At 40.9% G+C, this 16,952-nt stretch overlaps 1 long non-coding RNA gene across 3 annotated transcripts in view; it reads right to left on the reverse strand.

Moving 5' to 3' along the window:
* Positions 1–5,568: 5,568 nt before the first annotated feature.
* LOC107984701 (uncharacterized) overlaps positions 5,569–16,952 on the reverse strand; it is a 29,554-nt gene continuing 18,170 nt past the window's right edge. The window contains exons 2-3 of one of the 3 annotated variants that reach the window (XR_001750760.3): positions 10,554–10,853; positions 5,569–5,787 (exon numbers count right to left, since the gene is read on the reverse strand). This is a non-coding gene — a long non-coding RNA (uncharacterized LOC107984701). Of the gene's footprint in view, positions 5,788–9,915; positions 10,854–13,306; positions 13,349–16,952 lie in introns of those variants that run through there. The other 2 variants (XR_002957613.2, XR_007064154.1) reach the window with 2 other exon arrangements.

Here is a 16,952-nt window from a genome sequence, read left to right on the forward strand (position 1 = left end):
TAAAAACCTTCCAGAACTCATTCATTCGTTCAACAAACCTTTTCTTTCTTAGGGAGGGGCCACTGTTCTACACACTAGGATTCCAGAGATGAGTAATATATTATCACCACTCTCAAGGAGTAACTGAGAATCAATAATCACAGATATTATAATGGAAAAATAATGAAAAGGCCTATGCTTCTCCATGAAAATTCTGTAATAGAAACTATAGATAGAGAGAAAGAATGTGAGGCTCATAGGATGGAGTGGGAGAGAGAGGAGGGCTAGTTAAGACATCTAGAGTCAGGCTTCCGAGCCACCTTCCTGGCAGGTATGTCCCTTTTTGATCCAACCTGGCTCATTCTCAGTTTGCCCAACATGTTCACTACTGCTATTGTAGAAACCAAGACAGGGCACTTTTAAGGCTGATGCCGAAAGGTGCATGTGTTTGGGAAGCAAAGATGTTCAGTGTAATCCTGGAAAAGAGGGCCCCCATCTGATTCAAGAGCAATAAAATACGGATCATTCAAACAGCAAAAACATAGTTGACACACTTACAAAGAAAGGAAGCACCAAAGTCCCTCTCAGGCTTGGGACTCAATAATTAGAATCCTGTCAAATCACTGGAGTCATAGATGAGAGAGCAAAAGAGGTCACGAAAGTTCCATCCAGAGGACCATTGGTCATCCTCCCCTGAAGCCCCATTTTACAGGTGAGGACATCAAGGCTTCCCCCAGTCCTCTGGACTTCTTGACCGCTCATCTTCCCCTAAGCAAGATAAGTACATCGTTGCCCATCAATCAGAGGGTCAATGATCCTTTATAGATATCAGTAAGGTTTCCAAATCTGGTTTCTTGGAACCGTCAGTATAGTGAATAAAACTGTGAGACACTACATCACGTTGTTTATTGCTTTTTGCACAGTTCAAACTGGCATCTGTTCAGCCCAGGGTTATTTAAGGCCTAATGTTCATGGTGCTGGAGTGTACAGTGAAATAAATGGGGTTTCAGCTAATTAAATGCTGGCACAAAGCTGAGGTGTTTGAAAAATCTCTAAATCCATCTAGTGGCCTGTCCCTGAGCCAAGAGCTGCTGCTGTTAAATGACACAATAAAAGAGATGCTGTGTAAATTTCAAATATTTTATTGAACATAAATAATTAGAATATCTAACCATTTGCTAAGGCAGAAATATCTAGCAGCTAATGTGCAGAACGCACTGCAGATGTTCACAAACTACAGAAATGTCAATATGCTTTTAAGTTCCTTTTAACCAATTTTTTACTCTAAAGAAGTAAACATTTATAACTGTGAATAAATGGTTTGTGGTTTGGGCAAAATGTTTAGGAATATTCAATAAAGCAGCCATATAAATATTCAGTTATGGAGATAATTTGATTTAAATAGATGGTACTTTCAATAAATAAACGTTGTTCAACATGAATCAACATTTTAAACAACCAGCAAGCATCAAAACCCAGCTGATGTTTCAGGCAAATCTTTGGAAAACATTTTATTTAGCAGTTCTTCTTACATATGCTATACAATGTCAATGATTCCTTCATAGTCTTTATTATCAGGAATATTGGCATGAAAGCAGTATCTTTTCTTAAGAGAATTCATCTTCTTTCAGCACCACATTTTATTACGATCTTTTCTTCTTTGCAGAGTTGCCACGCAGTGTTGTGGAGTCCAAGGTTGAGAACAACAGCAGGAACCAGCCTAGGTTTAAATTGTCTCTGCTACTTAAAACTGTGTGATCTTGGGCTGGCCGCGGTAGCTCACGCCTGTAATCCCAGCACTTTGGGAGGCTGAGGTGGGCAGATCACCTGAGCTCGGGAGTTCGAGACCAGCCTGGCCAACATTGTTAAACCCCATCTCTACTAAAAATACAAAAATTAGCTGGGCATAGTGGTGTGTGCCTGTAATCCCAGCTACTCAGGAGGCTGAGGCAGGAGAATCGCTTGAACCTGGGAGGCGGAGGTTGCAGTGAGCCGGGATCATGCCAATGGGCAACAGAGTGAGGCCCTATCGTAAAAAAAAAAAAAAAAAAAAAAAAAAAAAAAACTCTGCAACCTTGAGCAGTTTAACCATGTTTAGCTTCAATATCATCATTTATGAAATGGAAATCATAATACCTCATAGGAATAAGTATTAGATAAGATCATAAGTCAAGTGCCCAGAAAACACTCTACAAACTTACCTGTTACCATTTTAGATTACTTGTTATAAATTGAGCTTTCCATTTGAATCATTTAAAACAGACTTTGGAGTGAATTAACGACATTCACAGCGACCTGGATGAGATTGGAGACTATAATTCTAAGTGAAGTAACTCGGGAATGGAAAACTAAACATGGTATGTTCTCACTGATATGTGGGAGGTAAGCAATGAGGACACAAAGGCATAAGAATGATACAAGGGAATTTAGGAACTTGAGGGGAAGGGTGGGAGGGGAGGAGGGGTAAAAGACTACGAAAAGGGTGCAGTGTGTACTGCTCGGGTGATGGGTGCACCAAAATCTCACAAATCACCACTAAAGAACTTATTCATGTAACCAAACACCATCTATACCCCAATAACCCATGGAAAAATAAATAGATAAATAAAAACTATATATCTGATTTTTTTTTTAAATGACAGGGCAAGAGGCAAGGGGCAAACTGTTCCCCTGCCAGGCTGTTTGATAGAAAAAGCAATGGTTATCTTGGTTCTAAAGCTTCAACCACACTGGATCCTTGTGTTTCACATACCTTAAGGTTAGCGCCAACTTTCCAACTTTCCAAAAGAATAATTACATCGGGAAAGAAATGGGGTCAGCGGTTCTCGCAGTGCTTTTAAACAGGAAGTCTCGGAGCTCATGCAGGGAAGCAGCTCATAGCACTTCTTTCCTACTCATCAACCCAAAGAACCGCTCAATCCCAGGAAGAAGATAGAGGAGTACGTCTCACCAAACACAAGTTGACCCTAACTCTAAATCATCTACAGTCAAAAAATTGATGCTGCATCTGGTTGACACTGCCAGTAAAAAAATTTTTTTAAAAATGATTCTGCCTATAAAATGAAAATATATATATATAAAACAGACTTTGGACATCCATTGTTTTAACCTGTAACTACTTTCTTTTAATACTGTCAAGGACAATAGAGATTGGTACGACATTCTTGGAGAGCAATTTGGTAATAGCTATCAAAATTTGAAATGCACATTTCCTTTGATCCAGCAACTACACTCCTGGAATTCACCTATCACTAGCTAGGTGGCAATATATTATTAGATCAATGTCCCAGAATGTTCACTGCTACATTTCTATAATAGTAAAATAAAGTGACAAATGCCCATCAATAAATGATTAATTACCATGTACCCCCACTTATGGGACTTGTCACAGTAGGATTTTGCCTCTGTATGTTTGGTTATGGGGTGATTTCTCTTTATTCCCTGTGAAAAGAGAACACTTGTTCCCTCTTCTGAATTTTCCTTTTGTATGGAGAGAATCTGGCAGTGATACACTGCTGACCTCTCTCTGCCCCTTGAGGCGCTCAACCCAGGGGAGGTAGAGGGACTTTTGTGACTGGCGAATTTCGGAAGAATAACTAGACATGCTCTGCTCAGCAACTCCCTTTTACTTCTTTAGAGAGAGAAGTCCACAGGGAACAGGAGCTCTCTTCTGTCCAGGATATTCACCAGGCAGTCCCCGCAATAGGGAAGTCGGCTATGGTCAGCCCTGCCGGTGACTAGGTGGGTATAGGTGCCCAACTCCGGGCATCCGAGTTAGGAAGTCCATGCGGTTTGCACACTATCCTATATCTTCCAACATAGCCTTTAGCAATAAAAGAGGTAAATGATGTAATCTGTCAATCTTTTATATTTCAATTTGATCAGAACTTGGGCAAGGAAAAGGGATGCATTTGAAGGTCCTCATGAAGGTTACTGTATGCCCCACAAATGTAAACTCTTTGGAGATGGGAATTATATCTGCCTTGCTCATCAGTATATCCCTAAAACAGAACCTAGACCCAAAAAATAAATGAATGAATGAATGAATGACACAAATGGTGTTATTTTAAAAGTATGTGATGTATCTGTGTGTGATTATATAAATGTAGTTTCCTTAAGAGGGAGGGACTAGGAAAGGAGGCACCTTTTCAGTGTATGTCTACTGGCACTGTTTAGATTTTCTAACCACATGTATGTGGCAGTTATTTCATTAACGAAGTAGAAATGGAAACTGTCCACAAAAGGCTATTGTGAAGCATAATTATGAGCCCTTTTGTTTTCTCCTTTATATCTTCCTTTAATAAATAAACATTTTAAGAGAAAACTCCATCAGGAAAAAAAGAAAGAAGGAAGAAAAGGAGAGAGGAAAGGAAGGCAGGAAGGCCAGAAGGAGGGAGGGAGGGAGGCAGGGAGGGAGGAAGGAAGGAAAGAAGAAAGGAAGGAAGGAAAGAAGAAAGGGAGGGAGGAAAGGAGGGAGGCAGGAAAGGAGGGAGGGAGGGAAGGAAGGAAAGGAAGGAAGTAGAGAAAGAAAAGAGGGAGGGAAACATGGAAGGAAGAAAAAAATTCCTTAACAAGACCTTTTTTAGAATGAGTGATCACTCCTCTACATGTCAGGGTTCTTGGCTGAAAAAAACTAGAAACAATCTAGCTACATTAAACAGAAAAGAAATGCATCTGAAGGCATCAAATGACTAACAAAGTTGATGGGAAGGCTGGGGAACTAGCTTAAAAATGAGCAGGGTCCAAGGCAGCCCAGAGCACCACCGTGATGCCACAGAAACTTATGGTGATGACCACGCCACCTAGGACATGCACAGACAGTGGCCACACTGATGCTCTCACTGAGCCATTGGGTCCTCAATTCTGCTGCCACATTGAGTCTGCTCTGGTCCTCCTCTATCAAGGTTCAAAGTTCAGAGCAGAAGCAGCCAGTTAGCCAAGGTGAGGTTATCTGCCCAAGTGGAGGGTTGGCCTTTGGTAGGATGAGGGAGGGATACCTCACCCCCTTCATTGTCTCTAGCAAGAGGGTGGATAGTTTGGGTACAGATGCTGGGAGGGAGGTAGGTTTGGAGAAGGGAGATGAAGAAATCTGATTGCTTGCTTCTGCTTTCTCAATGCATTATGACAAAGGACTATCATGTCCTTTGAAGTGAGAAGTGAGAAAGCACCGTTAGAGATTTGAAAAAAGAAAAGGTGTGAAATCGCACGTTTGGAGGGGGGTGGTCCAGTTATTTACTGCTACATAATAAATGACCCCAAAACATTGGCTTACAAGAATATAATAATTTATTTTACTTATGATTCTGGAAGTCAAATATGCCCAGCTAGGCAGTTCTCGCTTAGAGTCCCTCATAAGTTTGCAGTCAGATGGTGGGTGGGGCTGGGGTCATCTGGAAGGCCTATTCACATGTAAGCCTATCTCCTGGGCTGGGGAGGCAACAGCTGAGGCTCCTCAAAAATGTCTCTCTCTTTCTCTCTTTATATATATATTTTAAATATGTATTCATATATATACATACACCTACATATACATACACATACATATATATATATATATATATAATTTGTTTATATAGCTATATATGTGGATTCACATGGCAGCTTAAGGTGTCCAATGCCCTAAGATAAATAAATAGAATCTTCATGGATTTTTCTAACCTAGCCTCAGAAGTTACCTGATGTCCTTTCAGCTGTGTTCAAGTCATGAAAGCAGTCACAAAGAGCTGCCCATACTCCAGAAAATGGGACATAGACTCTATCTCTTAATGGAAGAAATGCCCAAGAATTTGCCGAAATATTTTGAAATCACTACAAATGGAAAGAAAAACAAAAATATTAAAGAAGTATAATAAAACTGTTGAGCTATATCGAGTGCTCATTTGAGATAGGTACTCATGAATTAAAGAGAGACCCTTTGACAGAGCTGTGTTTTTATCGATCAACTTTTGGCTACTGGGGTACCAATCCAGGAAGGAGGATGGTGGGGTGTAACATGGACTTTGCCAACAACTCCTATCATCTCTATGAAGATGAAAGCACTAGGAGAGCAGGGACCTTGTCTGTCGCACTCATGGCAAGATCTCAGAGATTAGAATTGGGCTTTGTAAAAGGGGGTCCCTCAATATATCTGTGTTATGGGTGAACCTGGCCCTTTTTTGCAGCTTTTGTTTAAGATGTTCTTTCCAATCAGGATGCCTCCCCACTGCCCCCATCACCAATTCACTATATGACTTTGCACAGATCACTTAACTGCTTGGAGCTTCTTTTTTGCACCTATAAAATGAAGATTATGTGATATTTAAGGTTCCTTTCAGGTGTAAAAATCATATCTTCCTATCTTATCCCACTCATCTGATGACTTCCAACAATGATGCCAAAATACATCAGCTCAGATGAAGGCACTAGCTCAGGTGCCCTTGGGTTTTTGCCTTGCAACTGATCCACTTAAGACACAGCCTCTGAAAACACATTGACTCTAAAAGCAAAGCCTCCTACACTCAATAAATCCTTGTTGGATTTCAGCAAGAGACTGCAGATAGAGAAGTATTGATGCTGGAGCTGTAAAGTGCCTTAGAGAAAAGACAGATCTGGCCCAGTCTTTGCCCTCTTGGGTGTTCACATCCTTTCTTAGCTATCACCCAACCCAGTTGGATAAATATATCTCTTTTTGTCTTTCCACATACTTCAATCCCTTCCTTTCCTGAATCATTTCTGTTACTTTACTCTCAACCTTCCCCATTCTGTCTCTTCCTTTTCAATGCTTAATGTCAGGACCATCCACAGGGTAGAAGGTAGGGGGGTATGCAGTGGAAATAGAGGGGTGAAGGCAATAGACAACAGTTAGTAAGACAGCAATATTCACTGAGCATTGTCTGTGCCCTGAAAGCTGCAGTACATTTGGGAGTCAGATTCACAGAGCTGTCAACTACCTATGCGGTGAATTTGAGGGCCTGAAGTAGGGTCTCCCGCTAAAAAATGGCCAGCCTAGATTCAAATGCCACTGCCATCACTAAATAAATGTGTACGTGACCTTGAATAAGTTAATCCTTAACCATTCCATTCTTTAGTTTCCACCTCTAAAAAATGAAGATGATAGTACATCTGACTTCACAAAGTTGTTGTGAAGACTGAATAAAACAATACACGTTAAGTGCTTAGAACAGTACCTAGCACATAGTAAGTGCTCAACAAATGTGAGATATTATCTATTATCTTTCATGGTGTCTGAAATTCTACCTGTTAAAGACTTAACCCTTGTGATTGAGGCAGCGACTCTATCCTTGGTGTTAGTCAAGGATATTCTATTAAATATACTCTATTATAGTCTATTCATATGCTCAAGTTAAGACATCAGTTGTGTTCCTGCCTGACTCTGTGATAAATGAGATTCCAACCTTGGGCCCCTGTAACTGTTCCTGCTTTTATAATCTGCCCAATGTCCAATTCCTCTACCACAGGCTCTATGCCTTTAGTCTCCATCTAGTTACTAAAATCCAGCTTCTGAAATTCACACCCATGGATGGAGTTCTTCCAGGTATGCAGTAGCTATACAACACATATTCATTGACTGACTGGCCAGCTACCTTCTACTGGTCTCCTTGATGCTGACCTAGAATGGTGCCCCATATACACCCTCCTCTGTGCTCTCTCACCTGCATTCAGCAGCGGCTTCCTTACTGCCCACACCTGAGCCCTCCTGCCACCCTCCGTGAGAAGACAGGTTCAAAATGTCAGCCAAACCACCACCCTGTTTCCATCTTCTTGGCTGATTAAACTAGGTCATTAAATCTTTGGGAGCTCTTCTCTTAAACACATATTCCATGAATCCCCTGCTCTAAAACTTCACTTTTCCAGGGTCAGACAACAAGGATCCACTAGGCACATTTAGCAACGTGTACCAGCTTCCTCCCTCTTCTGCATTGCCCTCTGCAGCTCTCCATGGGTGTTCCAGTGAGAGCCCCCTACTCCTCCCCACTGCCCAGGATCCCTGCTGAGTACAGGAAAATAGTCAAAACTATGACAGAGGAGATAAGGCTACCAGATCAAAGGGTTCAGGACAAGAGACGAGTGTAAATTAAGGCTGGAAAAGTAGGATGGTACCAGATCAAGTGGACTTGAAAGGAAGCAGACAAGTCTGAATGGCAGATTGGTATAAGAGGGATGTTTCAGGAGGGGTTCTGGCCCAGGTACACCATGTTGGGATGAGAAGGGTTTGGAGGTGAGACGACCAGTGAGGGTAGCACAGACCCCTTTGAAACTCAGCAGAAAGGTAGACCTTTGGTCCAAGGGGAAAAAAATACTGAAAATTTTGCATAATATTTCAGGGAGTTGACAGATCTTAAAGCCCATTCATAGGACTCTCTGGGGCATCCCTGAACTTTTAAAAATCCCTGGAGCAGAATCTTACAACAAATCAACACCTGACATAGGGTGGTCACCTAAATGGTAGTTGTTATGCACTGAATGTTTGTGTCCTTCCAAAATTCATATGTTGAAGCCTACTGTGGTTTGAATGTGTCCTTCCAAAATTCACATTGAAACTTAATCCCCAGTGAGATAATATTAACAGCCGGGATCTTTAAGAAATGATTGGGTCATGAGGGCTCCACCCTCATAAGTGAGATTAGTGTCCTTACAAAAGGGCTCAAGAGAACTAGCTAGCCCCTTTTGTCTTTCTGCCATGTGAGGACACAGTGGGGATGCAGTGCTTCTCTCGGAAGCAGAGAGCAAGCCCTCCCCAGACACTGAATCTCCTGGCACCATGATCTTGGACTTCCCAGCCTCCAGAACTATGATAAATAAATTTCTCTAAAAAGAAAAAGAGAGAGAGAGACAAGGTCTCACTATGTGGCCCAGGCTGGTCTTGAACTCCTGGGCTCAACAATCCTCCCACTACAGCTTCCCAAAGTGCTGGAATTACAGGCATGGGTCACCATGCCCCACCACAAGAAATAAATACCTATTATTTGTAAATTACCCAGTCTAAGGTATTTTTTTTTAAACAGACTGAACTGACTAAGACAAAGCCCTAACCCACAATGTGAAGGTATTAGGACATAGGCCCTTGGGACATAATTAGTTCTAAATGAAGTCATAAGGGTGGGCCCCCATTATGGGATTAGTGCCCTTGTAAGAAGAGGAAGAGACACCGGAGCTCTTCCTACTCTCCACCATGTGAGGATACAGCAAGAACATAGCCATCTACAAGCCAGGAAGAGGATCCTCACCAAAAATTGAATATGCTGGCACCTTGATCTTAAACTGCTGAGCCTCTGAAAATGTGTGAAATAAATGTCTATTGTTTAAACCTCCCCATATGTGGTCATTTAGTATAGCAACCTGAGCTAAAGCAGCAGTGTTTAATCCAAAAAAAAAAAAAAAAAAAAAACCTACTTAATCTCTGCTGAGAGAAAACAGAAATTGATAAGCACGGTAGTAAATGGTACTAATGGAATGGATGATAGGAAGTAAACTCTAGGCCATTTAAGGAGGAGGGGGTCAGACGTGGTGGCTCACGCCTGTAATCCCAGCACTTTGGAAGGCCGAGGTGGGAGGATCACCTGAGGTCAGGAGTTCGAGACCAGCCTGACCAACATGGAGAACCCTGTCTCTACTAAAACCTGTAATCCTAGCTACTTGAATCCATACTAACATATGAGGCAGGAGAATCGCTTGAACCCAGGAGGCGGAGGTTGCAGTGAGCCAAGATCGCACCATTGCACTCCAGCCTGGGCAACAAGAGCGAAACTCCATCTCAAAAAAAAAAGAAGGAGGGCAAAAACCAAGACTTTGAATTTGGGGATTTTGGAAATGAAAAACATGAAAGTTTGAATATTTCTAAATAACCAGATAGATGGTGATGTATCCAAATGAGAGAGGATGCCTGTGTTTTGTTGATTTGGGTTTTTTGCATTGCTTATGGAGAGGGATGTAAAGTTTGACTCATTCATCCAACAAGCTTTAATAAACCGCCTAGAATGTGCTTGGCTCTGGAAATATCAAGAAGCAAACGCAAGCAAATCCTTGCCCCCACAGAGCATATACTGCTGTGAGAAAACGTGCAGGCAAAGAGCAATGACAATGCAGGGGTTGCTGAAGGGCAAGGGAGGTTTGCACAAAGTGTGAGGAGCAGGCTGGAAGGCACAGTTTTCCTGGGAAAACCATGGTGGAAATTGAGGTTGAGCTGAAACTGAAAATAGGCTTAGAGCTTTGCCTAATGGAATGAAGAAGGTTGGTATTACAGAGCCCTAAAGTTTGAGCAAGAGGAACTACATGTTATAGTTTTTCCCCCAGGCCCAGTAGCCCACATCTCCCCTTTATGTTCTTGGCCAAGTGCTGTGTATGGGAAATAGGAAGAAAACATCCATCCAAATGTAGGAAAATCACACTGACAACTGAGGAGAGGATGGGAAGCAGGAAAAGATTTGAGACACTAGGGAAAAAAAGCAAAACAGTAAGGAGGTTGTATTCATGAACCTAAATTCCAAGCTGTTTCCCCCAGTGATAAGACAGAGGAAAAAGACAAAATATGAATATCTGGACTGGCACAGTCAGATAGACTCCAATTGGGTTACCTCTGGGAAAATAGTAAAATCACCCTGCAGGGATCTCAAGGAGCCTGAGTCTTTGAATTGAGTTTTAACAGCAACAAAGCCAGATTTTTTTTCTCTGGTCTGCAGTTGTATTGGCCTCCATGATCTCTGAATAAGTCAAGCAAGGGATTTTTCCTGAAGTGGGAAGCTTTTCATGGCTGGTTTCTTGAGAGCCTTGAACACAATGCTTTGGCAGGTATGTGGCTGCCCAGCAGGGAATCTTGGAGCTTTGAGCAGCTCTGGCAGTTGCAAGGAGGCAGGTCACACAGCTTCACAAATCTTCTAAAAGAAAAAGCAAGAGAGTCTAAATTTAAAGAGGAGAAGCAACAGCTATGGAAAAGAGGAGAAAAGTATCAAAGATTTTTAGAAAACAGAATAGAAAAGATAAATTAACTTCAAGCTCAGAAAGAAGCAAAGTAAAAGGAGGAATTGAGGCTGGGTATGGTGGTGTGCACCTGTAGTCTCAGACACTCAGGAGACTGAGGCAAGAGGATGGCTTGAGCCCAGGAATTTAAGGCTGCCATGAGCTATAATCATGCCACTGCACTCCAGTCTGGGCAACAGAACAAGACTCTATCTCTAAGAAGAAAAAAAAAATGGAGGAGTTTAGAATGATGCCCAAATTTCCTATCCAGGGAACTTGGGTTTTGATAGTGTACTTCACAGAAATAAGGACTGGTGGGAATTCCCGAAAGGTTGGGTGGGGATGGAGATCACTAGAAGGAGAGATAATGAGCTCAGGTAAGTTTTAAAAGTGTTGTTTTCATGCACCTTTGCAATATACCACTAAAATATATATTAAATAGGCCAGACATGGTGGCTCATGCCTGTAATCCCAGCACTTTGGGAGACCGAAGCGGCCAGCTCACTTGAAATCAGAGTTTGAGACCAACCTGGCAACATGGTGAAACCCTGTCTCCACCAAAAATACAAAAATTAGCTGGGCATGGTGGCATGCGCCTGTAATCCCAGCTACTTGGGAGGCTGAGGCAGGAGATTCGCTTGAGCCCGGGAAATGGAGGTTGCAGTGAGCCAAGATTGCACCACTGCACTCCAGCCTGGGCAACAGAGCTGACTCCGTCTCACAAAAGAATAAATAAATAAAATACATCAAATACGCTAGATTAGAGTTCCAGAGAGAGTAGACTAAGCACAGTGACTTTGGAAGTAACTCATGTAAATGATTGAAGTCATGAGCAGAGATGAGACTACCCAAGAAGAAGGTAGAAAATAAGAATACAAGGAGGTTGAGAGGAAAGAGGTTGAGGAAGATTTCCCTAAGGGAAACTAATATTTAAAGACTAAACAAAGGAGATTGAGAAAGAACGAGACAACTAGATTAAACAGGAGAATAGTGCCAAGAAAATGTAGAGAAGAATTTCAAGAATGGAGTGGTCAAAAAGGTCAAATGCCCCATAAGGTTTAAATAAAATGTCAACTGAAATGTGTCTATTGAATTTAACAACTGGGAAGTCATTGATAACCTTTTCAAAATGGGGAAGAAAATAGATTACTGATGACTGAAGAGTAAACAAAGGTGAGGCAGTGTAGACAGCCTTGGGATGAGACTTGACTGTGAAGGGAAGAAGAGAGCTGGAGGTGAGCAGGGGAATATCTACAAGAGGCATTGGGCCACCAGCAGATGTGTGTTTGTTGCCATTGTTTTCTATAGGGTAGATTTTAAAGTGTTTATATTTGGCAAGGAAGAAGCCATTGGAGAGGAAGAGGATAAAAGTACAGAAAATGGAAGGGAAATTTCATAGAGTGAGGAAGAGACTGGAGGGGTAGTACTTCAGCTCACAGATGAGCCGTGGGAAGGAGAGACTCATCCTGAAAGCATGGCAGCAGGAGGTGAAGGCTGATGCTGATGAGACAAATGTAGACATGGAGCAATTACTGTTTGTCTTTTCCCGGGAAAATGGTAGGTAAGATTGTCCATAGAAAGTGAGGTAGCTGGAGGAGAGCTGGGAGCCTGGAAAGACTTGGAGAGGTGGAAGAAAATGTTAAAGGATTGCCAGAGTTGTACATTGCCTTGACATTGGATGCTATAAACCTTCATCTATGCCAGTATATGTGTATGTTGTGTGACTGCCTCCAGCATTTCTCAGACTCTCAGGTTTTGTAGATGGAGCTCCCTAGATGTTAAGAAGATATGAATTGGAAGTTGCAGGACAGGTCTAACAAACAGACAAGGGAACAGAGGAATTAAGGATGCCAGCAAGGAAGATTGAAGGATTGATGTGCCATGAAATTTCATCTGGAATGATAAAGAAATGAAACCAGGAAGGGGCTGACAGAATTCAAAGAAACATGAGGGATCAGGAAACTGCAGAGTACAAAGAGCAAAAACAAGCAGATCTTTAAAACCATCTTAAAGGACGTGTTAAGAGGTAGATCTTATGTTTTCTAATTTGGGGTACCCAAAATGTTTTTATTGTGATTATTCTACCCTGGGAAATGAGGGAATGAGAGCAAAGACCTAGTATGTTTATGAACTGCAAATACTATTTTTAAAAAGTAAAAGTCAAAAAAAACTTCAAAAAATAACCTAATAATGCATCTTAAAGAACTAGAAAAGTGGCTGGGTACGGTGGCTCACGCCTGTAATCCCAGTACTTTGGGAGGCCGAGGCGGGCGGATCACAAGGTCAAGAGATCAAGACCATCCTGGCCAATATAGTGAAACCCCCGTCTCTACTAAAAATACAAAAATTAACCAGGCATGTTGGCGCTTACCTGTAGTCCCAGCTACTTGGGAGGCTGAGGCAGGAGAATCACTTGAACCTAGGAGGCAGAGGTTGCAGTGAGCCGAGATCACGCCACTGCACTCCAGCCTGGTGACAGAGCAAGACTCCATCTTAAAAAAAAAGGACTAGAAAAGCAAGAAAAACTGAACCCAAAATCAGAAGAAAAGAAATAATAAAGATCAGAGTAGAAATAAATGAATTTGAAATGAAGAAAACAACACTAAAGATCAATGAAACAAAAATTTCATTTTTTGAAAAGATAAACAAAGTTGACAAACCTTTAGCCAGACTAATAAAGAAAACAAGAAAGAAAACTCAAATAAATAAAATCAGAGATGAAAAAGGAGACATTACAACTGATGTGCAGAAATTCAAAAGATTATTAGTGGTAACTATAAGCGACTATATGCCAATAAATTGGAAAATCTAGAGGAAATGGTTAAATTTCTATACACATACAACATACCAAGATTGAACCATGAAGAAATCCAAAACCTGAATAGACCAATAACAAGTAAGAAGATCAAAGCCATAATAAAAAGTCTTCCAGTAAACAAAAGCTTGGAACCTGATAGCTTCACTGCTGATTCTATCAAACATTTAAAGAAAAACTAATACCAATCCTACTCAACCTATTCTAAAAAATAGAGGAGGAGGGAATACTTCCAAACTCATTCTATGAGGCCAATATTACCCTGACACCAAAACAAGACAAAGATACATCAAAGAAGGAAAAATGCAGGTCATTATCTCTAATGAATATTGATGCAAAAAATCCTCAACAAAATACTTGCAAACCAAATTTAACAATACATTAAAAAGATCACTCATCGGCTGGGCGCGGTGGCTCACACCTGTAATCCCAGCACTTTGGGAGGCTGAGGCAGGTGGATCACGAGGTCAGGAAATCGAGACCGTCCTGGCTAACATGGTGAAACCCCGTCTCTACTAAAAATACAAAAAAATTAGCTAGGCATGGTGGCGGGCGCCTGTATTCCCAGCTACTTGGGAGGCTGAGGCAGGAGAATGACATGAACCCAGGAGGCGGAGCTTGCAGTGAGCCGAGATCGCGCCACTGCACTCCAGCCTGGGCGACAGAGCGAGACTACGTCTCAAAAAAAAAAAAAAAGATCACTCATCTCATGTCCCCTTCAGTGACATGGATGGAGTTGGAGACCATTATCCTTAGCAAACTAACCCAGGAACAGAAAACTAAATACCATATGTTCTCAATTGTAAGTGGGAACTAAATGGTAATAACACATGAACACATAGAGGGGAACAACACACACTGGGGCCTACTGGAGTGTGGAGGATAGGAGAAGGGAGAAGATCAGGAAAAATAACTAATGGGTACTAGACTTAATACCTGGGTGATGAAATAATCTGTACAACAAACCCCCATGACACAAGTTTACCTATGTAACAAACCTGCACGTGTACCCCTGAACTTAAAATAAAAGTTAAAAAAAAAAGGATCCCTCATCATGACCTAGTGGGATTTATTGCAGGAATGCAAGATGGTTCAACATATGCAAATCAATCAATATCATGTATCATATCAACAGAATGAAGGATAAAAACCATTTAATCATTTCAACTGATGCTGAAAAAGCATTTGATAAAATTCAACATCCCTTCATGATAAAAGCCTTCCAAAAAGTGTGTATGGAAGGAACATATCTCCACATAATAAAAGCCATATATGACAGACCCACAGCTACTATCATATTGAATGGGGAAAAACTGAAAGCCTTTCCTGTAAGATCTGAAACATAACAAGGGTGTCCACTTTCACCAGTTATTCAACATAGTACTAGAACTCGTAGCTAGAGCAATCAGACAAGAGAAGGAAAGAAATAAAGGGCATCCAAATTGGAAAGGAAAAGGTCAAATTATCATTGTTTCCAGATTATTTAATCTTTTTTTTTTTTTCTCAGATGGAGTTTCACTCTTGTTGCCCAGGCTGGAGTGCAATGGTGTGATCTTGGCTCACCACAACCTCTACCTCCCGGGTTCAAGAGTTTCTCCTGCCTCAGCCTCCCAAGTAGCTAGGATTACAGACATGTGCCACCATGCCCGGCTAATTTTGCATTTTTAGTAGAGACAGGGTTTCTCCATGTTGGTCAGCTGGTCTCGAACTCCCAACCTCAGGTGATCCGCCCACCTCAGCCTCCCAAAGTGCTGAGATTACAGGCGTGAGCCACCACTCCCAGCCTATATAACTTTATATTTGGAAAAACCTAAAGATTTCACCAAAAAACTACTAGAAGTGATAAATTCAAATTCAGTAGAGTTGCAGGATACAAGATTAACATATAAAACATAGTAACATTTCTATATGCCAATGTCAAAAATCTGAAAAATCAATCAAAAAATAATCCCATTTACAATAGCCACAAATAAAATTAAATACCTAGGAATTAACCAAAGAAGTGAAAGATCTCTACAATGAAAACCATCAAACACTGATGCAAGAAACGTTTTCACACACACACAAAAAAAGATATTCCATATTAATGGATTGGAAGAATTGATATTGTTAAAATGTCCATACTATTCAAAGCCATCTACAGTTTCAATGCAACCCCTATCAAAGTACCAATGACATTCTTCACATAAATAGAAAAAACAGTTCTAAAATTTATGTAGAACCACTAAAGACCCAGAATAGCCAAAGCTATCCTGAGCAAAAAGAAAAAAACTGGAGGAATCACATTACCTGACTTCAAATTATACTACAGAGCTATAGTAACCAAAAGAGCATAGTACTGGCATGAAAGCAGATGCATAGATCATGGAACAGAATGGACAACCCAGAAATAAACCCACACACCTACAGTGAACTCATTTTTGACAAAAGTGCCAAGAACATACATTGGAGAAAATAGTCTCTTCAATAAATGGTGCTGGGAAAACTGGATATCCATATGCAGAAGAATGAAACTTGATCCCTATCAAATCAAAATGGATTAAAGGCTTAAATCTAAGACCTCAAACTATGAAATTACTACAAGAAAACATTGGGGAAAATCTCCAGGACATTAGACTGAGCAAAAATTTCTTGAGTAGTACCCCACAGGCACAGGCAACCAAAGCAAAAATGGACAAATGAGATCACATCAAGTTAAAATGCTACTACACAGTGAAGGGAACAATTAACAAAATGAAGAGACAACCCACGAAATGGAAGAAAATATTTGCAAACTACCCATCTGACAAGGGATTAATAACCAGAATATATAGGAGCTCAAATAACTCAATAGGAAAAAAATCTAATAATCTGATTTTTTAAATGGGCAAAAGATTTGAATAGACATTTCTCAAAAGAAGATATACAAATGGCAAGCAGGCATATGAAAAGGTGCTCAACATCACTAATCATCAGAGAAATGCAAATCAAAACTACAATGAGATATCATCTCACTCCAGTTAAAATGGCTTTTATCCAAAAGACAAGCAATAACTAACAAATGCTGGAGAGGATGTAGAGAAAAGGGAACCCTCACATGCTCTTGGTGGGAATGTAAGTTAGTACAACCATTATGGAGAACAGTATGGGGGTTTCTCGAAAAACTAAAAATAGAGCTACCATATGATCCAGCAATCCCACTGCTGGATAAATACCCAAAAGA

Source organism: Homo sapiens, chromosome 14 (genome assembly GCF_000001405.40).
Source record: "Homo sapiens chromosome 14, GRCh38.p14 Primary Assembly".
Taxonomy (NCBI): Eukaryota; Metazoa; Chordata; class Mammalia; order Primates; family Hominidae; genus Homo; species Homo sapiens.